At 36.9% G+C, this 27,863-nt stretch overlaps 2 protein-coding genes and 1 pseudogene across 2 annotated transcripts; all 3 read left to right on the plus strand.

The window, feature by feature from the left end:
• Window positions 1-1,839: 1,839 nt before the first annotated feature.
• Window positions 1,840-2,924, plus strand: TAAR8 (trace amine associated receptor 8). Its single transcript, NM_053278.3, has one exon. The coding sequence runs from the start codon at window positions 1,861-1,863 to the stop codon at window positions 2,887-2,889; it is 1,029 nt and encodes a 342-aa protein (NP_444508.1). The 5' UTR covers window positions 1,840-1,860; the 3' UTR covers window positions 2,890-2,924.
• On the plus strand, window positions 8,192-8,401 carry TAAR7P (trace amine associated receptor 7, pseudogene; annotated as a pseudogene).
• On the plus strand, window positions 19,490-20,527 carry TAAR6 (trace amine associated receptor 6). The gene has a single exon (NM_175067.1). It carries the CDS (start codon window positions 19,490-19,492, stop codon window positions 20,525-20,527), a length of 1,038 nt encoding a protein of 345 aa, NP_778237.1.

Consider the following 27,863-nt stretch of genomic DNA (forward strand, 5'->3'; position numbering starts at 1 on the left):
GATCAAAATTAGCTATTTTTTTCCCCCAGGCCTGAAATTCTTTTTATGGAGCTTCATTCCTTAATCTCGCTTCTTAATCCCCTAAATTACTGTTAGTATTATGGGGACAAGCCTGTATGTCAAGAAAGGCTGTTATTTTCAGAACTGCCTGGACCTCAGCTTCTACACCCTCTTGTCTGGAAATTTCGCAGTTACCTCCACATGGGGTATTCTTTGCCTCATCATTGAGCTGCTATTACAAAGAGATAATTTAATATCTGAAATGAAACAGGCAGTTATTCCATGGGCATATGACTGGGGCAGCAGTGCAGAGACCTACTATTAGGGTTTCATGCTCATAGTTGCTGTCTTGAATTTCTGTCTTTGAAATTCAAATGTGTGTGTTGTTAAGTGAAGAGACAATGGAGCATGTGCTGGGTGCTTGGAACTTCAGACCACTAGTAGTCTTGCATTACACCTTGTTCCTTCTTCCCTGGGAGGGGTATTCAGCCTCATGTTCCCCTGCCCCCTGGCACCTTGGGCTCCATCCAGTCTCCTCCTACCCGCTCTGACCAGGGACCACTGCCATCCTCTTTTCATCCCTGCAGAGGACTGGATGCATCACAGGGAGAGTTGCAGCCAGGCACATCCTCCACAGTCTCAGGGCTAGGCATAGACTGTTGCCTCCATCTCCCGCTGGCAGCGTCACAGCACGTTTGATGAGCTCCTCAGCAGGGCCAAGCCCCTCATGAACCCCAATCCAGGTATCAAGTGCTTTCTGCTGTGCAGGTTGTAATCCCTTGGGGGTCATTGGTCTGCCTTTTGTTGAGGTAGCAGGCCTGTGAGAAGGGCAAATCCCTGGCTCAGCTTCTCACCCCCATCCTGACTATGGCATATTACTTCAGCAGCTGGTAGGAGGGGGAATCTGGCAGTGGGTGGACCATGTGCAAGCTGAGTTGCAAGGCAGGGAATGCAGACACCTGTGAGAGTCCTCACTTGCCCTGCAAATACCTCTTTGTCCAAGGGCATTCCATAGCAAATATCGAACACTATGACAGGCCAAGAAAGACCATAAAAGAAAGGTAAAAGCTTTCTATTTCAGTACCTTTAATGACACTTTTTGTCCATACTTTTGAACAAGGGTCTCTGCATTTTATTTTGTGCTGGATGCTGCAAATTATATAGATAGTCTTGTAAATAAGGAATAGGTAATACTATTGTCAAATCTTGGGTTAGGCTATTTCAGGACAGTTGAACTTAAAGAAATCTCATGGTTATGAAAATCATAAGTGTTTCTACCAAGTTGCAGAGCACAGAGAAACAGTTCTCCTATTGTAGGTGAACTTATTAATTATAATTATCAAAAGTGGGATTCATTTCATGATTCACACCTTACACTATGGGGATTCCTTGTGAAGAATTTATAATGGGTACAATGGATTGGCTGGCTTCCTAAAATGTCCTAGGAGATGGAAGCTTATTAAAAGGTGACTTCTCAAATATGTAATTATATTATACATGATCGTCCTTTGAAAAGAAGGATTCACATGTATATAAAACCAGGTATTTAAATTACATTTCTTCAATTACTTGGTTAATGTGATTACTCAGCTGATGAAAATTCATAGTAGATTTGCTTGGGGTTAATGACGAGGTTTAGACATAGCGACAGAAATAATTATGAGATTAAAGACAGAATTATCTTTTATGTTTTTGAATTTAATTTCTCTTTATAATTAAAATTGAAAAAGAATATAATATGAAACAAAATTTGTAAGTACTCACATATGCAGTTTGTTTTTGTTTTAATTTTCAGAATTCAAAATTATAATTCCCTATCACAAGGAAGGACAGAAATAGCAAACAACAAACAGCAGAACCATGACCAGCAATTTTTCCCAACCTGTTGTGCAGCTTTGCTATGAGGATGTGAATGGATCTTGTATTGAAACTCCCTATTCTCCTGGGTCCCGGGTAATTCTGTACACGGCGTTTAGCTTTGGGTCTTTGCTGGCTGTATTTGGAAATCTCTTAGTAATGACTTCTGTTCTTCATTTTAAGCAGCTGCACTCTCCAACCAATTTTCTCATTGCCTCTCTGGCCTGTGCTGACTTCTTGGTAGGTGTGACTGTGATGCTTTTCAGCATGGTCAGGACGGTGGAGAGCTGCTGGTATTTTGGAGCCAAATTTTGTACTCTTCACAGTTGCTGTGATGTGGCATTTTGTTACTCTTCTGTCCTCCACTTGTGCTTCATCTGCATCGACAGGTACATTGTGGTTACTGATCCCCTGGTCTATGCTACCAAGTTCACCGTGTCTGTGTCGGGAATTTGCATCAGCGTGTCCTGGATTCTGCCTCTCACGTACAGCGGTGCTGTGTTCTACACAGGTGTCAATGATGATGGGCTGGAGGAATTAGTAAGTGCTCTCAACTGCGTAGGTGGCTGTCAAATTATTGTAAGTCAAGGCTGGGTGTTGATAGATTTTCTGTTATTCTTCATACCTACCCTTGTTATGATAATTCTTTACAGTAAGATTTTTCTTATAGCTAAACAACAAGCTATAAAAATTGAAACTACTAGTAGCAAAGTAGAATCATCCTCAGAGAGTTATAAAATCAGAGTGGCCAAGAGAGAGAGGAAAGCAGCTAAAACCCTGGGGGTCACGGTACTAGCATTTGTTATTTCATGGTTACCGTATACAGTTGATATATTAATTGATGCCTTTATGGGCTTCCTGACCCCTGCCTATATCTATGAAATTTGCTGTTGGAGTGCTTATTATAACTCAGCCATGAATCCTTTGATTTATGCTCTATTTTATCCTTGGTTTAGGAAAGCCATAAAACTTATTTTAAGTGGAGATGTTTTAAAGGCTAGTTCATCAACCATTAGTTTATTTTTAGAATAAGTTTAAGCACTAAGTTGAGAAAATTAAGAATATTTTTAAAATTATGAATTTATAAGGAAATTAAATATAAGAAACAAATAAAACTTTTCAAAATTGGAGAAATATATCACTTTTCAAATTAACCAGGAAAAAGGTCACAGGAAGATTAAACTATTAAACTATTGTAAAGATATTGACTACATTAAATAATAAATGATAAAGTGGTTCACACATGTCACTTGTCTCTATGTTTTGTACACATCCTTGCCACATGCACTTGTTTTTTCCGATTTACTGAATTCTGAATTGCATTTTTGGATGTGAAATTTTGAATCATCTTTTTTTTTTAATGCTCAACTTTCATTTATTTTCAAGTGGACTTTTTTTCTTTTCTTCTCTTTTCTTTTTTTTTTTTTTTTTGAGATGGAGTTTTGCTCTTGTTGCCCAGGCTGGAGTGCAGTGGCGTGATCTCGGCTCACTGCAACCTCCGCCTCCCAGGTTCAAGCGATTCTCCTGCCTCAGCCTCCTGAGTAGCTGGGATTACAGGCACATGCCACCATGTCTGACTACTTTTTGTATTTTTTAGTACAGATGGAGTTTCACCATGTTGGCCAGGCTGGTCTCGAACTCCTGACCTCAGGTGATCTGCCCACCTCAGCCTCCCAAAGTGTTGGAATTACAAGTGGCCATTCTTTAAGTGTCTTTTGCAACACTGTATTAGTTGGCTAGAGCTGCATTCTTTAAGTGGTTTTTGTATTATTTGGCTAGGGGTGCAATAAGGAAGTATCACAGACTGGATGGCTTAAACAACAAAAGTGTATTTTCCCATGATTCTACTGTCTGGAAGTCCAAGGTCTAGGTGTCAGCAGGGTGAATTTCTTTTGAGGGCCTCTTTCCTTGACTTGCAGATGGCTGTCTTCTTTTAGTGTCCTCACCTGGTCTTTCTCTGTGTGCGTGTGTCCTAAACTCCTCTTCGCATAAAGATAAGCAGTCATATTGGATTATGGTCCACCCTAATCACTTCATTTTGACTTAATTATCTAGACTTGAGTACTAGGGGTTAGAGCTTCAACATATGAATTTGGGGTAACAATTCAGTTCATAACAGACACAGTCCACGTGGGATGATACTACCAAAGGGTCTGTTTATTTGCTGCTCTTCTGTGACTATTCCTCCCGGTTTCTTTAATGATTGTGCCTTCCAGGAGTTTGGGAGGCAGCAGGTAAGCCTCTCCTGCTTAATGGCTGGGCAGAATCTTAGCATGCTCACCCATAATATGGTGGAACCCATAATTCAGCCTTGGGATCAGGAAGTAACTATAGACATTGCCCAGAAATGTTTCATGTGAAAAAATCTACCACAAAAAGGTTGGCACAAAGATTATTAGCAAATGGAAATTGTGCAAGAATAACCAATGATCACCAGTAGTTGTTATTTCTATGTCAACTTTTATCTCCTGAAAATAATGTATAACTTGCTTCCACAACTTTTCTTAATAGTTTTTCTCACACTAAAAATAATGTGCATTTCACTACCTGAGTGTTGCAGAGTCAAAATTCTATGCTAATACTGTAAAAAAAAAGTGTATTAAAATAGTATAAACAATGTGTGCTATAACTTTACATTTTACTCTCTGGAAAAGTTTATACTTGGTTCAATAGAAGTCATTTTGGAATTCATATCTAGAGTATTCTGTATAATGCTTTTGTTGGTACCATGTGATAACCTTTTTGGGCATAGATGGCTGAATTAGAGTTGGACAGGTGATTTTAGGAAAACTCTTCAATAGGCTTGGTTAAGTCCATCACATCATCACTCAAAAGAGTAAGAACTGAAACACCAAATCCGTTAATACTGAACTTTAGAATGAAGGCTGCTGTATCTTGCCTAAGTTTTATTTCTCTGAGTTTTAAGTGGTCATTGTTTCTTTTATTACTGTGACAAAAACCATACTTATCACCAAAACATATTTAGCACATACTTAGAGATGAAACATTTGAAGTGTATCTTTTAGGCTCCAGCTAAAGACAAGATGGTCCAATATTTTCACATTGCTAGTTAACACACCTAGATGAGAGAAAAATCAATATAGAAATTCAAAAATAGGAATTTAAACTATTATTTGCAGGTAATATGACTGAAAATAAATTTGTCTGTCTGCCTTATTACCGTTGAGAACTAGTCCCAGACATCAACAACTCTTACCCTGATGTAGAAATAGATTACAAGAAATACATTTTTCTGTAATTATTTAGTTTACTTAAGATGCAAAATGTACTCAGTGACCTTGAATTATAAAATATATATCACCAAAGAAAATTTTCTTACTACATTTATTTAAAAAAATTCCTATGTGGGACATCTTCTTCCGGTAATGGTAGAATAGGTTACTTATTCCATTCTCCTAGTGAGAAGATTCAGGAAATCTGGAAAAAGTGTTTTAAAAATCTTTAAAATATCAGAAAGATATAAAGGCAGTCAATAATTATTTAAGATCCAGGGAAAAAGGAAATTCAGAGAGGTGAATCTAAACTTTAGGGCCAATACCAAAAGGGGCATCTGAGAAGATGAAGAGTGAAGCAGAGCTTTTAAAAATTATTATTATTTCAATAGTTCTGTGGGTACTGGTGGTTTTGTTTACATGGATAAGTTCTTTAGTGGTGATTTCTGAGATTTTAATGCACTCATCACCTGAGCAGTGTACATTGTACCCAGTATGTATTCACCCCCCCCAACCTTCTCCCCTGAGTCCCCAAAGTCCATTATATCACTCTTAAGCCTTTGCATTCTCATAGCTTAGCTCCCATTTAAGTGAGAACATACAATATTTGGTGTTCCATTCCTGAGTCACTTCAGTTAGAATAATGGCCTCCAGCTCCATCCAAGTTGCTGGAAAAGACATTATTTTGTTCCTTTTTATGGCTGAGTGGTATTTCATGGTGTATATGTACTACATTTTCTTTAACCACTTGTTAGTCAGTGGGCACTTAGATTGGTTCCATATCTTTGCAATTGCAAATTGTGATGCTATAAACATGAGTGTGCATGTGTCTTTTTCATAAACTGACTTCTTTTCCTTTGGGTAGATACCCAGTAACGGGATTGCTGGATCGAATGGTAGTTCTATGTTTAGCTCTTTAAGAAATCTTCGTATTGTTTTCCATAGTGATTGTACTAATTTACATTCCCACCAGCAGTGTAAAAGTGTTCCCTTTCACCACATCCATGCCAACATCTATTGTTTTTGACTTTTTAGTTGTGGCCATTCTTGCAGAAGTAAGGTGGTATCTCATTGTGGTTTTAATTTCCCCGATGATTAGTGATGTTAAACAATTTTTCATATGTTTGTTGGCTGTTTGTACATCTTCTTTTGATAAATGTCTATGCATGTCCTTGAAGCAGAGCTTTTGACAACCTGATAGGGTTAGTGGGAAATGATTAGATTTTAGAGTCTAACAAGAAAAATGAGCCCAGGCAGCACCGACCACTAATGGTTTTTGTTACAGTCTGGAAGACTACTATTCTCTAAACATCAGGGTAAGACTTCACTTCAGATAGTCTCAATGTCTATAATGGAGAAAAGGATTATCCCAGATTGTTGTTTTTTTCTAGCCACACACCACAAGTAAAGGCACATTTTCTCTGGAGAAGCATAATATCTCAGTTCTCAAGTTATTACATCAACTTTTCATATAGAATGTCTCAACTCAATTTAAACAGGAAAAAGGAGAAAAGATAATATCATGAAAATCAACAGAAATGGTGGAAAAAAGTTTAAAAACCAATGGGAAATTCATATTATGCTTTACAGTAACTAACTTGATTACCTTTAACAGTTTTTAATATAACAAAGCTGACCACATTCAAGGAAATAATCATGTTTGGAAACTGTAAACCATTTTTAAAAATCAAAGTTCTAGATCTGAAAATTACTGCTCTCTGCTTCTCAAGCCACAAAGAATCCAGACATTGGTTATGTAGAGGTCTACAAATGGGTTATACAAAAATAGTATCTATGTGCTGTCTGTCTCCTACCTCCTATCTCTCACAGGTCAAAATTCATGCCACAGAAAGTTTGTCCCCTGAAACTGTAGGGTATCTTCATTTGGCCACTTCAATAACCTTTGCAAAAGTGAATTCCCACACCACTTGAGTCTTGAAGTGATGGGAGAAACTAGTCTCTGGGCATTGGCCACAAACCATGGACCCTCATGCCACTAATGGGTTTGGTGTCCTCAGGGGTGTCTTAGAGTAAGCAGTAAAGTGTTAATCAGAGAATACGAAGATGCACAAATACGATGGTCTGATACAAATGCCCATGGGACAAGGAAGAAATCAAACTGAAAATTAGAAAATATTATTAATTGGATGATAAAATAAGACAAATAAAATAAAATAGCAAATAACAAAAATTGTAGAATGCAAGGGAGAAATTTCTGATTTGGACTGTGATGACACCGCTTGATCAAACCATCTCCCCCACTTAGGACAATTATAAAAGCTCAACTGAACACATAGAACAACTGTTTAAAGTATTGGATAGCAACTATGACAGCCTAGAATTGTTGGACAAAATTCTAGAGAGAAAGGAAGCACATTGAAGTGAGCTGGGCCTTCTGCAAAAATTCTTATATTCACAACAGCATCTATTCTTGCTGTGACACGTACAGGCTAAGCAGAAAATGGTGTCCTAAACCAGTCAATAGTCTCCAATTGCTGTATGGAAAAAATTTGTAGTTTAGGGACCAAAGAAGCCAGTGTTTAAGAAACCAACACTCAGGAGAAGGGAGAATAGCAGAGAAGTGAGGGCAGCATCCCGTGTTGCTTTTGCCCTTGGACATTTTTCCGAATTCTGAAATTCTCTGTGGCTAAGAACCCAAGAAACAAAGAAAAATGCAATTGCTAAGAAGCTAAGCACGACTTTGGCAGTCTCTTGTAACTGGAGAGGCAAAAATTGGAGTTCAGGGGCTGCTGCAGAGAAAAGACAAAGGCAAACACCCCAGGATTCCAATTGAGACCTCTTGCGGGAAGGTATCAAAGTGGTAGCACTTTTTTTTTTTTTTTTAAACGGAGTCTCGCTCTGTCGCTCAGGCTAGAGTGCAGTGGCATGACCTTGGCTTACTGCAACCTCCGCCTCCTGGGTTCAAGTGATTCTCCTGCCTCAGGAGTGCGCCACCACACCTGGATAATTTTTGTATTTTTAGTAGAGATGGGTTTCACCATGTTGGTCAGGCTGGTCTCGAACTCCTGACCTCATGATCCACCTGCCTTGGCCTCCCAAGTGCTGGGATTACAGGCGTGAACCACTGTGCCCAGCTTAAAGTGGTAGCATTTTAAACCTCATGGTTACTATATATGATGATTGATTCATTCGTTGGTTCTCTTTGGGGTTTTATCATACCTTCCTATGTTTATGAGATATTTTCCTAGTTTGGTTACTCTAACTGTGTTCCAAATACTTTGATTTACGCTTTATTTTACCCTTGGCTTAGGGGTGCAATAAAACTTATTATAACTGGACAATATGAAAAGACAGTTTATCAACCATAAACTTATTCTCTAAATCAGCCTAAATTTGAAATTAAGGAATTTGTGATATAATGAGAATTTTCCAGCAATAATGATATGAAAAACAGTGTGTGAATATAATACATTATTTGGAAAGATGAATGGTACTTCAATTTTAATTGCATAAGCTTTATACTTTTATTGTTTTGTTGAAGTGGACATTTTTAAGCATTTGATAGAAACATATTTACTAAATGATCGTTAATACAAGGTTCGTATTTCCAGTTTCTGCAAATCTGCCACTTCCCTACTTTGTCAGTTGTTAGTTATTTTCCTCCTCCAGACCTTCATTTCATACTTAACTTCTGTCACTTTCAAAGGTTTCCTGGTTCCCTAGTCCCTGTGTAAGTCTTGCCCTCTATGTCTTTCTCTAGATTGGATTTGCCTTGCTTTCATTTTCAGAAGCTTATTTCTTGGGGTCCAGTTTTTCTGCAGCTTCTAACAGGCCTCTGAGCTTTATACATCAGCCATTACAGGCCCAGGACAGAACTCATATTTTATATTTTGGAGATGTTTCACAAATGTGGAAATAGCCTTGGTTCAATTTCTGCAATGGTGATTTTTATGGGATAGTTTTTCGCATCGCATACGGGTTGTTATTTTATGTTTCAGTCATAATATAAGGCATTTTGCTGTCTTTTTTTTCTGTAAACACTATCCAAAGTTTGCACATTGTTGATGATGAAAATAATAATGTATTTTAAATTATAGGAAAAGAATAGTTTATTCAGGAAATGATGATTGGACATATGGTTTTTTGGAAAAATATTGCTAAGCATCTTGTCTCATATCATTTACAAAATCAAAGCTGATTTCTTCTAGAGGTTACAAAATTAGAAGAAAATATTGCTTTCATAATTTTCTATTGTCAGAATCATAACAGAAAACCCTAATTGTCATGTGCTCAATTTAAATATCTTAAACTTCGAGACAAAAATTAGGGAAGAAAAGAGAACTTTTGAAAAGCTATGGATAGCATGCTTAATGGAACAAGAATACACCATGGAATACTATGCAGCCATAAAAAAGAACAAGATCATGTCCTCTGCAGGAACATGGATGGAGCTGGAAGCCATTATCCTTAGCAAACTAATGTGGGAACAGAAAACCGAATACAGCATGTTCTCACTTATAAGTGGGAGCTAAATGATGAGAACACACAGACACAAAGAGGAGAACAACAGACAATGGGGCCTATTCGAGGGAGGAGGGTGGAAGGAGGGGGAGGATCAGGAAAAATATCTATCCAGTACTATGCTTAGTACCTGGGTGACAAAATAGTCTGCATATTAAACCCCCGTGACACAAGTTTACCTGTATCACAAACCTGCACATGTGCCCCTGAACCTAAAATAAAAGTTAAAAAAAATAAAAAGAAAGAAAAGCCCGGTGTGATAGCTGACGCCTGTAATCCCAGCTCTTTGGGAGGCTGAGGCAGATGAACCACACTTGAGCCCAGGAGTTCAAGACCAGCCTGGGCAACTTGGTGAAACCCTGTCTCTGTAAAAAAAATTTAAAAAATAGGCCGGGCACGGTGGCTCATGCCTGTAATCCTAGCGCTTTGGGAGGCCGAGGCAGGCAGATTGCCTGAGCTCAGGAGTTCGAGACCAGCCTTGGCAACACAGTGAAACCCCGTCTCTACTAAAATATAAAAAATTAGCCCGGTGTGGCAGCATGCACCTGTAGTTGCAGTTACTTGGGAGGCTGAGGCAGGAGAATTGCTTGAACCTGGGAGGCAGAGGTTGCAGTGGGCCGAGATTGTGCCACTGCACTCTAGCCTGGGCGACAGAGCGAGACTTCATCTCCAAAAAAAAAAACAAAAACAAAAACAAAAGCAAATAAAAACAAAAAACAAAACTTGAAACACACAATTTGCTTGATTCTGCAGTTCTATTTCTAGCAATTAATCCTAGGAAAAGAGCCTGGCAATTAAGCACACATTACAAGCATATTTGTTGCATAACTCTTAACTATTAATTGGGAAAAACCTACATCAATATGGAATAAATTAAATAAATTGTACTTTATGTATGTAACGGAATGTTATGAAGTCCTTAAAAAGTGCTAAGAGTTCCTGTACAAACTTACATGTGAAGACAATCACAATATTTTTTTTTACTAAAGACAAAACAAAAAACTCTAATATAGCTTACAAAACAGTATATATAATACAGCCCCTATATATGTAATGTATGTTCTTATATGCATTCTTACAAAGTCTCATCTTATGTATTACAGGCAGTGTGTATGTGGGTGGAGGAGGGAATAATTACTTTGTAAATTATCTCGTTTGTGATAAAATAATATGTTAAAATTGATAAAGCCATTTCACATATCTCAGTTCTGATCTGAGCATTGAAATAAGGGTTATCTGTTTGTCTGTTTTCATTCAAGGAGAATATCTTTTGAGTATGTATCTGTGGCATATAGCTTTTTAACATATGAAATGAAATAATAGCTGCATTGGTATATTTCAGAAACTACATTTTAAAGGCATTAATGTATCTTAGGAATTACATCTTAATTTATTAATGTATTATAAGTGTTATTTTGCAGCAGGTCTATCAGATCTTCCAACTCTTTCTTCTAAAAGTTAATTATGTGCTATATTCAGGAGTGACAGAAGCTACCAGGAGTCATTCCCAAATCCATTTCCTCCATGAACATGTGGCTAGTTACACAGTAAGAATTAATTCAAGAATTTTGTTAATATGGTAAAATAAAGGCCAAATAGCTCTAGGAACAGAATAGTGAATAGGTAAGGTTTTCTGTAGAAGGTAGGATATCTTATAGTGTCCCAATTCCCATTAGCACAGCGACTTGAGTTGTATCCTGAGAGTCATCCTGACTAGATGTGGGAGCCCATTTGGAGTTTTCTCAGATGTCTCATACTGTGAATGTCTGATTGAAAACCCAGGGCATAGAGTTAGGACTGTGACCCTGTAACAATACTGATTGAAGTGTTAAAATGGCACCTCAGTAGTCATACCTGATTTCAGAAATATCAGAGTACTACGAAAGAGTGTATTTGGAAGAGTTTTACACAAGGTTTGTAATTACATGGATAGATACAGGGTGATTGGCATAGGAAATGAAAACCAAACAAACAAAAGCAAAGTTGGGCTTTTAAAGTCACTGACTGTCAGGAAAGGACTTAGAGCAAAAGCATGGAAGGCAATATTTTTTAACAGCCCCCATCTTAGACCTGACATTTCTTTAAAAACTTAATGACTTCCTAGCAATAGAAAGAAGGCTAAGCCAGCCCATCAGCACTAGCCACAGGATTCAGAGACCTGTGGCTGAGACATATGCATTGGAAGAGGAAGACTTCACAACAAGGCTGGAAGGAAAACTTGCCTTCTTGGAGGTAAAATGCTGCTAAGTGTGCTCCTTAAAGTTAGGGAAATGCATTCCTCAAGACAGACCACAAAGAGTACCCACAGATAATAATGTGGAGGTCAAGTCCACTGGAACTTGGATGCCATCCTGGGGAAAAGGAGTAAACCCTAAATGTACTGAGATTTATTTATTGTACCCAAAGGAATGCAAGCATATAAGCAAATTTAAGTGAATTGCAGAAAAGTAAATTACATTCATAGCATACCTGAGTGTGTGATACCAAAGATTTGTACCTATCATCAAGTATATTTTTGTCCTCTCTCCTCCCACACACTGACCTTTGCATAAATCCAAACTGCTTGGAGAATGAACGCAGGTGTGGTCAGTTTTAATCTTGTGCACGTTTCTCATTTATTCCATGCTGCTGCCTAAACAATGCCTGTGTTACAACAACACAAGCCTTCTTGCCAATCCTGACAATGCATGACACCTCCTCTTCTCCAAGACTTGACACACACACTCTTCTCTCTTTCTTGGTTAAGTTTTCCGTGTTTTTACCTTCAATTTGTCTCCTCAGCCAACTAGACCCAACTTTAAGTTCACCTCATTGTTATATTTTCTCCATACATTCTTGGAGAAAGTGTGTATTGCTCCATTATTTTGTTATTCCACTGTAGAACACGTCTAGGATGCTGGACTCCCCTCATAAGTTTATTTCATACAGTTGTGGTGAAGGTCATATTTCCTGGTCCCTCCTGCACTGGATGAGCATATCTTAGATGATAAATTCTCTCAAGCATTCAAGTTTCCCTAAGTATTTGGATGCCTTTCTTGACAACAAAGAAAAGAAGTTCTGACCTTTCATCTTCTGTTGGTATTACATTTGGATCCATATTTCAATCATCTGACCAAGCAATCTGTTGGAGCTCTTCCTAGCTCCTTGAACTAAAATATTTAATATAGACTGTCTGCGTAGTGGGTTCATATCAATATATTCAGCTCAATCCAACTTTACATTCTTTCCATATTGGTATTATATGGTTTAGATTCAGTCCCATAGATAGTTTTCAGGTTTCTGCTAGTATATATTGTCAAAATCATCCAACTTTTTTGATTTGCGTTGTACCTCCTGATGGGTCACACTATGTACCTCTCCTATTTGGACCGGAGACTGACTGTAAGTCAGTCTAAAAGCAAGAAAAGGTATTAAGAGTAGGTTCTGAGGAAGATCAGCAGTACGTTGTAAGGCAACTACCTCAGAAGAGGACATTATAGATTCTTTACCTGAGAGGAGACTGACCTCCTCAGACAGGGCTGAAAAGGCTGCCTCGACTGGCAGAAGAGGCTCGACCCAATTTAGGAGTTCGAGGTTCCCAGTTTTATAAACATCTGTCTATATGTCACCATAGTAATTTTCAGAACCCCTTTCCTTCTAAATCAGTTCCAGGATTTTAATAAAAGAGACCCTGGGAATCTGGAAACTGAGTTCACTTTGTAATTCAACCACCTACAAAATTAGACTTTGGGTTTAATATTCAGAAACATATCCCTGTGGCAATAAGAGATAGGAGATTCTTTCAGTGCATTCATAGAAGCTTTCATGTCCTCCTAGCCTATAAAACTTACCCTTTTCTTTCCCCAAGTTCTCCAGAGCAGTTAAAAGTAACTAACCAACCCATTATACTCCTCACTTTTGTTAAAATGTTGTATGGCAGCAAACCCATGGTCCCCCAGAGCCTTTTCTGTAAGCATTTGACTATAAGTGTCTACAGATGATACTTTGAGTAAATGTTTTGCCGCTGTATGCCACAGAATACCAGTTCCCTATCTATCACTGGAAACAGAGTCAGTAATACCTTTAAATATGCTTATACCAGATAATCGATTCCAGAAAACCAGAACCTATTCAGAGATTTCCTCTTAACATTCAGTTCCTGTGGAACATTGTTCTTTTATCATTATATAATGTCCCTCTTTATTTATTAAAGTACTATTTGTGTAAATTTTACATTGTCTGCTATTTATATAACCATACCTGCTTTTTAAATGCTTATTATTATAGTATATCTCTCTCAATTCTTTTTTTTAAACTGTCTGTATTTAAAATGTATCTCCTGTAGGCAGTATATAGTTAGGTATTGCTTTTTTAATGCACTCTGAAAATCTCAGCTTATTAATATATATACTTATTTATATATTTATACACTTAGTATATTTATATATAAATATATATTAATAAGTATATATTTATACTTATTAAAATAATATATATTTATATATACATATTATATAAATATACTTATTAATCTATATTATATTTTATATATAAAGTACTGCTATTAAATATATATAACATGTATTTCTGATGTAAGTAATCTCATATATTTGGGTTGAATTCTATTTTCTTGCTATCTGTTTTTCATTTGTGCCTTTCGTATTTTAATTCTGTTTCTCCTTTCTTGTCTAATTTGGGCTACTTTTAGTTTCCGTTGCTTTTCTTCTATTGGCTTCTTAACTATGGAGAGATGCAACGTGGTTATAGGTTAGTTGACTCAATACTTAAGATGCCCAGTTCTTCAGTGTTATCAGGAAAATGTAGCAATCCTGAATATGCATGCACCTAATTGCAGAGCATCTAACTTTATAAATCATAAATGACAGAACTAAAAGGATAAATGAACAAATTTACCTTAATCAGATATTTTAGCACCTCTCACTCCATAATTCATTTATAGACTCAATTTTATACCAACAAAAATTCCACAGGTTTTTTTGAGCAGAAATCGGCATGGTGATTTTAAAATTTATATGAAATCTCAAAAGAAATGGAATGGACTAAAGAATTTTGATAAAGGATAGCAAAGTGGAAGCCTTATATTAATACAACCTGACTTACTAGAGGCCAGGAGCAGTGGCTGACGCCTGTAATCCCAGCACTTTGGGAGGCTGAGGCGGGTGGATCATGAGGTCAGGAGATCGAGACCAGCCTGGCAAACATGGTGAAACCCCGTCTCTACTAACAATAAAAAATTAGCTGGGTGTGGTGGCACATGCCTATAGTCTCAGTTACTCAGAAAGAATAGCCTTTTAAAGAAATGCTGCTGGAATTGCTGAATATTCGTATACTACTACTATGGCTACTACTAAACCCCAAACCCTTCCTCACAACACATTCAAAATTAATATGAAATTAGATCTAAACATTAGAACTAAAATTGTAAAAATTCTAGAGGGAGCATAGAAGAAAAAGTTGGGATAATCGGGACAGGCAAAGATTTCTTAGAAAATAAACAAAGTCAATAACCATACAAATTAGTTAAATTTTTTGAAAATTAAAACCTTCTACTTTTCAAAAACACTGTCAAGGGACTGAAAAGTAGACATTTACAGCATGTATTTGGAAATAAGATATATCCAGTCAACTCAATAATAAAAAATAAAATTCAGTGAAAAATGAGCAAACGTTTTTACAGATGGTTCACTAAAATGAATACATTAGCAGCTAATAATAACATGAAAAGATGCTCAACATCATTATTCACCAACTTAAAAATGTGAGATACTGCTACACCCTGTAGAATGGATACAACAAAAAGAAATGGCAGTACCAAGTGTTGAAGAGGGCTTAGAGCGATTGGAACATTCAGGTTGCTGGTGGGAGCATAAAATGGTGCAATTATTTTAGAAGATAGTTCTTAGCTTCTTACACAGTTAAGCATAAGTTTCCCATAAAATCCATCAATTCTGCATCTAGATATTTACCCAAAAATATAAAAGCATGTGTTTATGCAAATAATTGTATATGAATATTTACAGCACTGCTATAGCAGCCCCGACAGGAACACTGTCCAAACGTCTATCAACGGGGTATATTAATAAATCAGGTGTGGTATATTCATGCCATGCAATCCTACTTAGTAATAATAAGAAATGAACAACGAATATACCCAATAACATGAATGAATCTCCCAGATACTGAACTGAGTGAAAGAGCTGGTCACAGAGGAGTACATGCTGTGTGGTTCTCTTCACATGTGATTTTGAGAATGGGCAAAAATAATCTATAGCGATAGAAAGGAGATCAGTGCTTGCCCATGGCAGGAGAAAGGAAGTGGGGGTAAGATTGGCTGCAAAGGGCAATTAATGTGTCTAATCGCATCATCTTACACAGATAAAATTTGACATTGTAGTTTCTACAAAATCCTAATTAGTCTGCTTACCATAATTATAACATAATTGACATAGTTGTCAATTTGAGTTTAATAAATGAATAAAACTGATTCTTATACTTTGATCCACAGCACTCGACAATTACTTTTGTATACAAAGTTTCAGAGACTGTATTGTGTAATTTGTAAATCAGGAAATATTTAACTAAAGAAATATGCATAAAATTTATTTTAATATTTCAAAATACAAAGTAATATGGTTTTTAGGATTGTAGTTAGTGATAATTCGTATTCGTAAGAAAAATAAGTTTTGTTGGAATTATAATGGATAAGATATTCACAAATTTAAAATTATATAGATAAAATGTCCTAGAGATTTATGGTTGTTTTAGTATAATATTACATCAATGTATCACAATAAACTGGGTTTTGAAAATAAATAAATTAATTCAAAAACAAAAACAATAGAATCCAAGGATTCCAGTGCATGATTCATTTTCCAGTGGATCTAAGTGTCAGTGTGTTTTACAAATTTGTTTTGACAAAACACTTACCTAGAATTCTTTACTTTAATTACACTTGTATAAATTGATATAGCAAATAAACGAAAAAATGAAGAAAAATGACTGGACAAGTATGAGTTCTACCTCAGATATAAAACTAAGGTATTAAAAAAGGAAGATTTGCTAGAGCTCATTTGGAGGCTGTGATTGAAGAAAAAGTACTTTCATACTGTTTCTCACCCTACTCAAAGTATTCCACAAGCTGTTAATCTATATTTCTAAGAAATACTTGTCAAACACAAATGGATTATGGAATGAATCAACCTGAGCACTGACTCAGCTATGCACTAACTTGAAGAATTACTTAGACCATAACTTAGATAAATTGATTGCATATAATCAATGCCCACTTCTTTTCCTTTACAGTTGAACACTTCGACCCTGCTTTGTGTTTGGTTGCTTTTAGCCTCTAATCCAAAGAGACAAGAGTACAAAACATTTGTCTCCCCTTTCTCTTATTAACAAACTTCTGAGTTTGGGTACTGCAACAACAGGGCCTCATTATCACATCTTTCTCCCACCTTAGTCATAATGAAGAATGTTTCACACTCTGGATCACTGGGGAGATGGTTTACTTAGTGGACTTTTATTTTAGAAATGTCTTTAAGGAGTTCACAACCTGCAAACTAAAGAGCAAGTGTAGAAGTGAGACTGAAAACTTTAGCTGATGCAAGACACTCAAAAGTTTGCCTCCAAATTCTTCCCCGGGTGTTAGAATCATAAAACTCTGGGAAAGAGGATTTCTGCTTACTCTCGATCTTATCTGATCCAAATCCATTTATGATGATGGTTTTAGGAGCAAGATTGAAAGAGTTGTATATGTGCAATAATTTTAGAGGCCTTGAAAACACCCTCCAATTGACATCCCATGTCAGCACTGGACTAGGGCTCTTTATTCACTAATCCAGAACATTAAAGTATAAGTTAAAACAGAATCCTCTAGTACGTTTAAGTGGTACAATAAAAAAATAGAATATCTAAAATTCTATAAATATTAAAGTAGAATTTTTGTTTTCTCATGTTTTTAGGGACCCCTTTGTCTCATCTGCCTGTCATTGTGCTTACTGTAGACGCTATTGTCTTTCGTCTGTGTAGTACTTATCACAATTTGAAATTGTAAATCTGTCTTTCTATTTCCTTAAGTTTTGTTTTCCTCTTAAGATTATAAGCTTCGTGAGTATAGTGGTCATAACAGTTTTGTTCATTACTTGAATACACAGCTACTGGAATTCAATAAATATGTGTTGAATAGATGAATTAATAAATGAATATCAGAATGATGAAGGGATATAAAGTTATTTTTCTATTTGAAATCGAGGCATCACTTGACACTTTTTTATTGCCTAAGACAATTGTCTTAATGGAGGAAGGGGGTTGATTTTGTCCCTTGAGGAATTTGGCAATGTCTGGAGACGTTTTTGGTATCTCAACTAGAAGGATTTTACTGACATCTCGTAGCAGGGGTGCTGCTAAAAGCCACGTGATTAACAGAATAATTTATCATATCAAAGAGTTATCTGAATTCAAAAGTCCATTGTGCTCAAGTTGAGAAAGCCCCGCACGGGGTTTTGTCTATATAAGAAATTGACACCATTTCACAAAATCAGACATACAGAAAATATTAAGAAGCATCTGAAAACTACTTGGTTAAGAGTGTTAATTTTATTGAGTAGGAATCAGATAGCGAGATTGATTAATAATAATACTTATCACTCTTTATAACTTGAAAAGCAAGTTCACAAATGTCTCTAAAGTCACAGCCCTGTACTGGAAAGAGAGTTGAACCCTTCTTCAGGAAGACAATAATATAATAATAACAATATTTTCTTCACTCTGCAGTGTCTTTACATTCCAGGGTTGGGAACATTACTGAGGATTCTCTTCCCATTTTCCAGTTTCCTGTTCATTATTCTTATTTTTTTGACTGCTTTTAGCATCGGGAGCACAAAGGCCAGTCACCAGGAATTGCAAACAAATGCGTAGTCAGAGAGAGAGGGCTCACTGCCCATTTGTCATGTGGATGCAGACACATTGCAGATGTGTTCCCAGTAACAATGTCTTGAGAAGAGGACTGGTCTTTCCACCAGCATCTCAGAAATGCCGGTGTGTCTAAACAGCATGTCGTTCTTTAATGCTTTCATGCAATATATTTTATCAATCTCAAGTTCCCCTCACTATGTATTATAATAATTTCTGCTTGTTGGTAACCAATGCAGATGGAAAATTGATTCTTAACAGAAGAGAAAGAGCCAAGTATTGATGCTTACTATTTACACCCTATTGTATCTTTGTAACAAAAACCCGGGTGGCTAAGTTATGATTGGGAACAAGGGAATGGTTCAAGTCTATGCACTAAGGAAAAACAAATCTTTGGCCTAAAACAATAATGATAATAGAATTTAATATAGAGTAGAGACCTGTTTTGTAGAATAACTTTCCTAGTAATCACTGTTGAAAATAATCATACTAGTTCACACCGCGCACTACAGGGATTCCATCGAGGGATTTTCCCATTGAAGGCATTTATTTAGCTAAAAGGACTTCATCTTTAAGGCGGTAATGCAGGACAGATAACAGAGATAAAGATAACAGGAGGTGATCTTTCAGCTCCATAATTACATTCCATATCAGCGACTGTTGCACAGAGAAACTCAAAAGGTAAAAATAAAATATGAAAGGATATTTAAAATCAAAAGGAATTTTATCAAATTAAGAGCATGAGACATTTATCAGTTGAAACAATCTCCAATAATCTTGTGCAATATAATTTTTGTCAAATTTTATTTTGTCATAAACATTTGGGATTTATAATAAAAATGGAAACTTGAAAAATTATATTAGAGATAATATCTGATCATTTCCTCTGGCATCCTGGTGAATATGTGTTTTTTTCCGCAGGAGCACTGAAAATCAGGAACAATCCTGTATTTTTTGTGATAATCAACAAGGACAAAACTTCTCCATATGTAAATAACAGCGTTATGAGCAGCAATTCATCCCTGCTGGTGGCTGTGCAGCTGTGCTACGCGAACGTGAATGGGTCCTGTGTGAAAATCCCCTTCTCGCCGGGATCCCGGGTGATTCTGTACATAGTGTTTGGCTTTGGGGCTGTGCTGGCTGTGTTTGGAAACCTCCTGGTGATGATTTCAATCCTCCATTTCAAGCAGCTGCACTCTCCGACCAATTTTCTCGTTGCCTCTCTGGCCTGCGCTGATTTCTTGGTGGGTGTGACTGTGATGCCCTTCAGCATGGTCAGGACGGTGGAGAGCTGCTGGTATTTTGGGAGGAGTTTTTGTACTTTCCACACCTGCTGTGATGTGGCATTTTGTTACTCTTCTCTCTTTCACTTGTGCTTCATCTCCATCGACAGGTACATTGCGGTTACTGACCCCCTGGTCTATCCTACCAAGTTCACCGTATCTGTGTCAGGAATTTGCATCAGCGTGTCCTGGATCCTGCCCCTCATGTACAGCGGTGCTGTGTTCTACACAGGTGTCTATGACGATGGGCTGGAGGAATTATCTGATGCCCTAAACTGTATAGGAGGTTGTCAGACCGTTGTAAATCAAAACTGGGTGTTGACAGATTTTCTATCCTTCTTTATACCTACCTTTATTATGATAATTCTGTATGGTAACATATTTCTTGTGGCTAGACGACAGGCGAAAAAGATAGAAAATACTGGTAGCAAGACAGAATCATCCTCAGAGAGTTACAAAGCCAGAGTGGCCAGGAGAGAGAGAAAAGCAGCTAAAACCCTGGGGGTCACAGTGGTAGCATTTATGATTTCATGGTTACCATATAGCATTGATTCATTAATTGATGCCTTTATGGGCTTTATAACCCCTGCCTGTATTTATGAGATTTGCTGTTGGTGTGCTTATTATAACTCAGCCATGAATCCTTTGATTTATGCTTTATTTTACCCATGGTTTAGGAAAGCAATAAAAGTTATTGTAACTGGTCAGGTTTTAAAGAACAGTTCAGCAACCATGAATTTGTTTTCTGAACATATATAAGCAGTTGTATAGACGAAGTTCAGGATACCTTTAAAATTACCAAGCGAAATGAGTTTTTAAAAATCAAGTAAGACTATGAATGAATAGCAAATAAATTGCTCTTCAAATGAAAAACAAATCAATGTTTTTCAGTCTTGTTAAGATGTGCACTTTCCTGTCCCTTCTGCAAAAGTATTTACTTGGCTAACAAATGTTAAATTCCTATTTGTTAACTGCTTTAGAGCTCAGCATATCCCACTCCCTGCAGACACTTTTTGTCTTTTAATCCATTGACTCTTCCCTCTGCTCTGGTATTTTTCCTAAAAATATTTGTTTTTTTTTTTTTATTTATTCCCTTTCCTCTTTTCTTTACAAAGCTTTCTACTCTTTCCCAGCCTGCCAAAAATTTCATTTGTGAATAGCCTTTATCAAATTATTGGTTTCTTTTGCTTTGGTTATTTTACCACAGGAGTCCTTTTAGGTATTAATTTAATTTATTCAATCTTGGGAGAGATCTCAGGGTGTATGGGGCAATTTGCAAATGAAGACATCATCTTGACCAGGCTGTTGTAATTGTCAAACCAGTTACTGTCATTCTTGTAATTATTTCCTCCCCCAAAGTGGGAAGCAGAAGCCACTGTACTTCCCAGAATGATGTTAGGATGATTATTTGGCTGCTGTTCTTGCTATTGCACAAAACTGTTTAAAGAGTTGGTATGAATAGAGCCCTGTGTTACATTATTCAGTTCATACACATTGAATATTACTTGTTCCTTTAGGGAGGATATCTTTCAAGTGCAGTCTCTAGCTTTCTTTTCTTTTTTTTTCTATATTAAAACTTAATTACAGCAAGGAATTTGCAAGATTAGAAGCCATGTGGAATATACATCAATGAGAAGCATTCAGGTATTCATCCATGTTTTTTCCATTTACCAAACATGAAACCTGTGCCTATATTGTATGGAAATCAGTGCTAGATGCCTTAGACACAGGCATAACATCCCATTTTTGTCTTTAATAAGCTGTGACTCTGGCAAGAAGCAATGTTGGTCACTGAAAATTTTAAAAAGGGCGAACACTAGCTCAACCAGGTAATTAAGGTTCAATATCAGTAGTAGTAAGGCATGTGGCTATTGTGTGTTCTTGACATTATGTAATGAGAATGGCTTTTACCTCTATGTCCTTTCTTCCCCAAATCCATAACCCCCATGTAGTCATGAGAAAAATGTCAGACGAAACTTTATCGGGAATATTCTGCATAATATTTGATCAGTATTTCTCAAAACTGTCAGTCATCAAAAATAAAGTATGAGAAACTGTCATGATCTACAGGAAACTAAGAAGACATGACAACTAAACGTAGTATGGCATCCTAAATGGAAAGCTAGAAAGAAAAGGGACATTAGGGGAAGTGAGGAAATCCGAATAATGAATGGAAATTTTATTGCTATATTGATAACAATATTGGATCATTAGTTATCACAAATGTACTATATGAGTTTAAGATGTTAATGAGAAACTTCTTGCAAGGTATATAGGAATTCTCATTACTATCTTTGCAATTTTTCAGTAATTCTACAACTATTCTGAAATTAAAAGTTTATTCAAAAAATATAGAGTACACAATTCCTGCTTGATAAAGTTTCTAGCCTGTCTATGTGAAGACAGCAAAGCACTTATCCTTACAGTCATTCATTTATTCATTCTGAATATATCTTTGAAGACTGAGTGTGTACTAGACTCTTGGTTCAGTGTGATCAGGAATAGAAAACCAGGAACTTAGAATATTTTGTGGCAAAACCCAAAATACCAGTAATTAAGACTTGGAATGCATGGGAATTTAAGCTATAAAAGGCTGTGTTTAAGGAACACAGGAGAAAGGAGAATTCAGACCTGGATGGAAAATGAAGGAGATGTATTAAAGAAGTGGCATTCAAGTAGGGCCTTAAATTTTAAGAAGGATTTTTGTAGGAGGGAAAGGATGGGAAGCGATTTTCAGGCATGAGCAAAGAAACTGAGAAAGTGCAAAGTGTTTAGGGAATATGAAAATAAAACAACTAGGCTGGGCGTGGTGGGTCACGCCTGTAATCCCAGCACTTTGGGAGGCCAAGGCGGGTGGATCACAAGGTCAAAAGATCGAGAACAGCCTGGCTAACAGGGTGAAACCCCGTCTCTACTAAAAATACAAAAATTATCTGGATGTGGTGGCACGTGCCTGTAGTCCCAGCTTCTCGGGAGGCTGAGGCAGGAGAATCTCTTGAACCTGGGAGGTGGAGGTTGCAGTGAGCCGAGATCATGCCACTGTACTCCAGCCTGGGTGACAGAGTGAAACTCTATCAAAAAAAAAAAGAAAAAAAAGAAAAAAAAGAAAGAAAGAAAATAAAACAACTAAACAACCACCAAGAAGCAAGAAGTAGTCACGCTTTTAAACCCTCCCAAGGTTGGCATCCAAACCCTGCACCTCTACTTCTCCTGGGCATCCTCCATTGTGGTTTGGAGACATTCTCCCCTCTCTGCTCAAGTTTCAGCTCCCATAATTGTTTTCTAAGAAACATTTCTCAAATGAGGCTTTACAAAACAGTCATCACATAAAATGCTCCAAGGAAAAAGATTTCTGATTCAACAATGTTTTGGAACTGTTGCATACTCTTTTCTGTTCTTGGAGAACACTGTATATTGGCATATTAAAGACTCTGAGAAGTCCTGTTTTAGCAAAAACCTGTCCAATTTTGTTTAAATGTGCATTCTAAACATTTATTAAACCATGGGTACTCTTTTGATATGAGGAGCTCAATAACAGAGCTATTGTCCAAGGAAAATATTTAAGGAACACCATCTCTATCGTTGATTTGGTTCTTACCTAATGTATTATTAATCTTGTATTGGTCTTTTGGTCTTTCACATACAATACACTTCATTCAATTTGTATTTCTAAAAGGTAGAGGTGGTTTTCCAACCCATGGTATAATAATGAGTAAGCACTCATAACATGTTTTTTTTTGTCAATTATGATGTATAAGATAAATTGTACAGTATGTAAAATGGGATAAATTATGTGACTTTGAAGGAGGGACTGGATGCTGCAGACTGAAAAATCTCAGAAGGTTCCATGGAGAACTTAGAATATAATACCAGCTAAGCAGTGGAGGATTGGTTTAAATAGAAAAAACAATAGTAGAAAAGGAATTTCTAGGCAGAATAAAAATCTCATGAAAGGTATAAATTTAGTGGTGCATCAAATGCAATTAAGCATACAAAAAAGGATAGCCAATAAGATCAGTCGGCCTAAAGCACACCATTTGGGTAAGAGAGTCACAATCAATCTATCCATCAATCAACATACTATTTTAAGCCCTATATCTGCACTGTCCAGTATGGTAGCCATGAGCAACATGTGGTTATTGAGGACTTGAAATGTGGCTAGTCTGAGCTGAGATATTCTATAGGTAGAATTTATATACCAGATTTCAAAGACAAACAAAAGAATGTAAGATGTCTCTTTTTAAAATATTGATTACATGTTGAAATTATCAATTTTGGGATGTATTGGGTTAAATAAAAATATGTTATTTAGATTAATTTCTCTTTTCTCTTTTTACTTTTTAAAATGTGGCTACTAGAAAAATGTAAAATTATGTATGTAGCTTAAATTATATTTCTATTGGACAGCACTACTCTAGAGAAAACAAAAATGAGCCATAGGACAATTCTAGCCCTCCAGGACTTAAAAATCAAGATGGGGAGAGAATGCATGAACATAAACAATGAAGTAAATATATATGAACTATGGTAAAAGTTAAATAATATTTATTTAGCAATTGATGTTTAAAAACAGAGGTACAAAACTCATATTAATCTTATAGTCTGGTCATTTTATAAATGAGAAAATTGGGACTCAGAGAGAAATAAATTAACTTGCATGAAATTATACAGCTAGTAGGCTAGGTGCGGTTGCTCACGCCTGTAATCTCAGCACTTTGGGAAGCTGAAGTGGGAGGATCACTTGAGTTCAGGAGTTTGATACCAGCCTGGGCAACATAGTGAGACCTTGTCTGTACTAAAAATGAAAAAGTTAGCCAGGCGTGGTGGTGAATGCCTGTAGTCCCAGCTACTCAGGAGGCTCAGGTGGGAGGATCACTTGTACACAGGAGTTTGAGGCTGCAGTGAGCAGTGATCGCATCTAGAAACAAAGTGAGATTCTGTCTCAAAAAATAAAAAGTTATACAGTTAGCAAAAAATCTTTGCCATACTTTGAACCCAAATTATTTGAATTCTAAGCTCAATTTTTTTTCTCGACATGGAAATGAGAGTTTAGGACAAACAATAAGGGATATTACAAAGAAGTACAGTTAAATAAATGCTATCCACAAGAAGATATTTAGCATTTAGAGTTTCTCTCATAAGTCAGTGGTTCTTGATAATTTTTAGATCATAGTCACATTGAAATATGCTGAAATCTATGTATTCTTTCTCTAGAAAAATGCACACAATCACATATACACAATATTTAGTGTACTATTCTGGGGGTTCCATAACCTTTGGGGCCAATTACAGGTCATGGATACACTGTTCCTAAGTTGGGCATAGACTAGACTTGGCTGAAGTGAAAACGACCTCAACTAACTCTGTGGCTTAACACAACAAAGGTTTATTTCCTGCTCATGTGAAGTCCACTATGAGTCTGAGGAGATATCAGGGCAATTGTCCTCAACATAGTGCAGGTTGCTTTGATTTCATGGCTCCATCTTTTCAACAAGAGACTTCTATACTTCAGCCTGAAAGAACACATGAACACTTAAATCTATTAGCCAGAACCAAGCAGACAGTCCACCTAATGGCTTGAAAAACACAGGACGATAAGCACAATGTTTGCTGCACACAAAGGCCTCTTCCAAACACTGTTTTACTGGATGGGACATCACATTGTGTGAATGATGTATCTCTCAGGGTTTCAATTTGGCAGAAAATGTTTTAAACTCATTAGTGTTTATTTTAATCAATATTAAGTCTAAGTGAGATAGTTGCTGGCTTCGGCTGGCTGACTCAAGTATGTTAGAGTCAAGGATGCTGTACAGATTTTCCTGATGCTTGTCTAATGGTTCCAAAGTGACTACAGGAGTTCCAGCCAAATCACACATGTTCCTGGAAATAGGGAGGAGGAAGACCTAGGAAGAGGGGCTCTCTGAAGCCCTACTTGACAACTTCAGTTTCCCCAAGGGAGAGAAGATTCTGATGCTATGGAGGAAATTAACCCATTGGTTGTTAGGTGAGAAATAAGCATTTCTGCCACATGAAGTAATCTGGAAAATGAAATCCAACAAGTGAAAATAAAACTTCTTACCAAATTCTCTCACAGGTATTTGCTGTATAAATCCATAAGGAAGTGAACTGAGAAAAAGAGAATGGAAAAAATAACAGGTTTTCTCAAAGATCTCTATACCATCTTTTTCTTAAACTTCTCCTTTTGTATTATTTAGTATTAATTTTTCAGCCAATGAACATGTACTATATATGTGTTACATAGTAAATGCCCTGTTGACAATGCAGAAGTGATGAGAATGAATGAGACTCAATCGTTTTAGTAGAGTTTTCAATATTTCCCAAAAGGTAGTGGTTACAAGCAGAGCCAGACAGCCAGTCCTTTTATGGGACAAAGATATCTTGCTAGAGATCACACAGTGGGTCAGCATCAGGGACAGAGTCCCCAGAATTTGCAATAGCCTGGTTGTTATTGTCTTGGAGCAATCAGTAGAAACATGTAAAGGCATATTTTTTAATTTTACATTTCAAGGTACATGTGCAGGATGTGCAGGTTTGTTACATAGGTAAACATGTGCCATGGTGGTTTGCTGCACCTATCAACCCATCACCTAGGTATTAAGCCCAGCATGCATTAGCTATTTTCCCTAATGCTCTCTGCCCCCACCCTACCCTCTTTCAACAGGCCCCAGTGTGTGATGCTCCCTTCCTTGTGTCCTTGTATTCTCATTGTTCAGCTCCTACTGAAGAATCAATATCATGAAAATGGCCATATTGCCCAAAGCAATTTATAGATTCAATGCTATTCCCATTAAACTACCATTGACATTCTTCACAGAATTAGAAAAAAAAGATTTCAAAATTCATATGGAACTTAAAAAAAGCTCGTATAGCCAGGCCAATCCTAAGCAAAAAGAACAAAACAAAAGAGGCACCAAGCGACCCAACTTCAAACTATACTACAAGGCTACAGTAACCAAAACAGCATGGTACTGGTACAAAACCGGCACATAGACCAATGGAACAGAATAGAGAACTCAGAAATGAAAACATACATCTAGAATCATCTGGTCTTCAACAAACTTGACAAAAAAACAAGATATTGGGAAAGTATTCCCCATTTAATAAATGGTGCTGGAAGAACTGGCTAGCCATATGCAAAAAAATTGAAACTGGGCCCCTTCCTTACATCCTATACAAGAATTAACTCAAGACAGATTAAAGACTTAAATGCAAGAACAATTAATATTTCACTAGTAGGGCTGCCCTCTACCAGATGGCTAATGGAGTCACGATGCAGAGCTATGAGATGGAGGGCAGGGGATGCTATGGCTAATTTTAACCACAGCAGCAAACACAGAAAAACCCACTAGGTCGTATAGACTCCTGACCAGCCCCAGCATCAGATCTTGGTCACTGTGGGCTATGGTGAATTCATAATTCAAAACCCAAAGCCTAATTTCTGTTGTGTTTGGAATAAAATTCTAACTCTGTGATTCTGATCTATGAGGCTTTGCATAGTCTTAGCCCCGCACAACTCTCTACCCACTACCTATTCTGCTCTCCCTTTACTTGTTATGCTCCAAATATATTTGTCCAATCCCAGCCCCTCGGCTACCCCCCACAGGATGCCTCAGGAGCTGTGCACTGGCTATCCCATCTGTTGTACTAGGTCGCTCAGGAGACTCGCACAGGGTTTTTCATCTGTTGGATCACTCAGTCCTCAGATCTTCACGGAGCTGGTTCCTTACACAGGTCTCAGCTTTAACATCGCTCCCTCAGAAAAATCAAGATCTCGGCTAATGTTGTTATCCATGTTTTATTCTTTTACTCACCTTGTTTTTATATCATTTCCTTCATGGTACATATCAGAATGTGTTACAATCTTATTCATCTGTTTATTTTCTTGTGTTTTAACTGTCTGTCTCTTAATGACATGTAAGCTGCAGGAGGTCAGATACTTGCTGAAGTATCACTATGAGTAAATCAGACAGTTTGTACTGGTGTTTTATTTCTTTGCTCCTATGTTGTTGTTTTACTTTGGTCAGTTGAGTAAATAAATGAGTGAATAAATAAAATAGAAATAGATTCCCCAGCA

This window comes from Homo sapiens, chromosome 6, assembly GCF_000001405.40.
Source record: "Homo sapiens chromosome 6, GRCh38.p14 Primary Assembly".
Classification (NCBI taxonomy): Eukaryota; Metazoa; Chordata; class Mammalia; order Primates; family Hominidae; genus Homo; species Homo sapiens.

What these genes read in the sequence shown, in the direction of transcription:
- TAAR8 (NM_053278.3), top strand. Translation starts at nt 1,861, where the DNA reads ATGACCAGCAATTTTTCCCAACCTGTTGTGCAGCTTTGCTATGAGGAT.
- TAAR6 (NM_175067.1), top strand. Translation starts at nt 19,490, where the DNA reads ATGAGCAGCAATTCATCCCTGCTGGTGGCTGTGCAGCTGTGCTACGCG.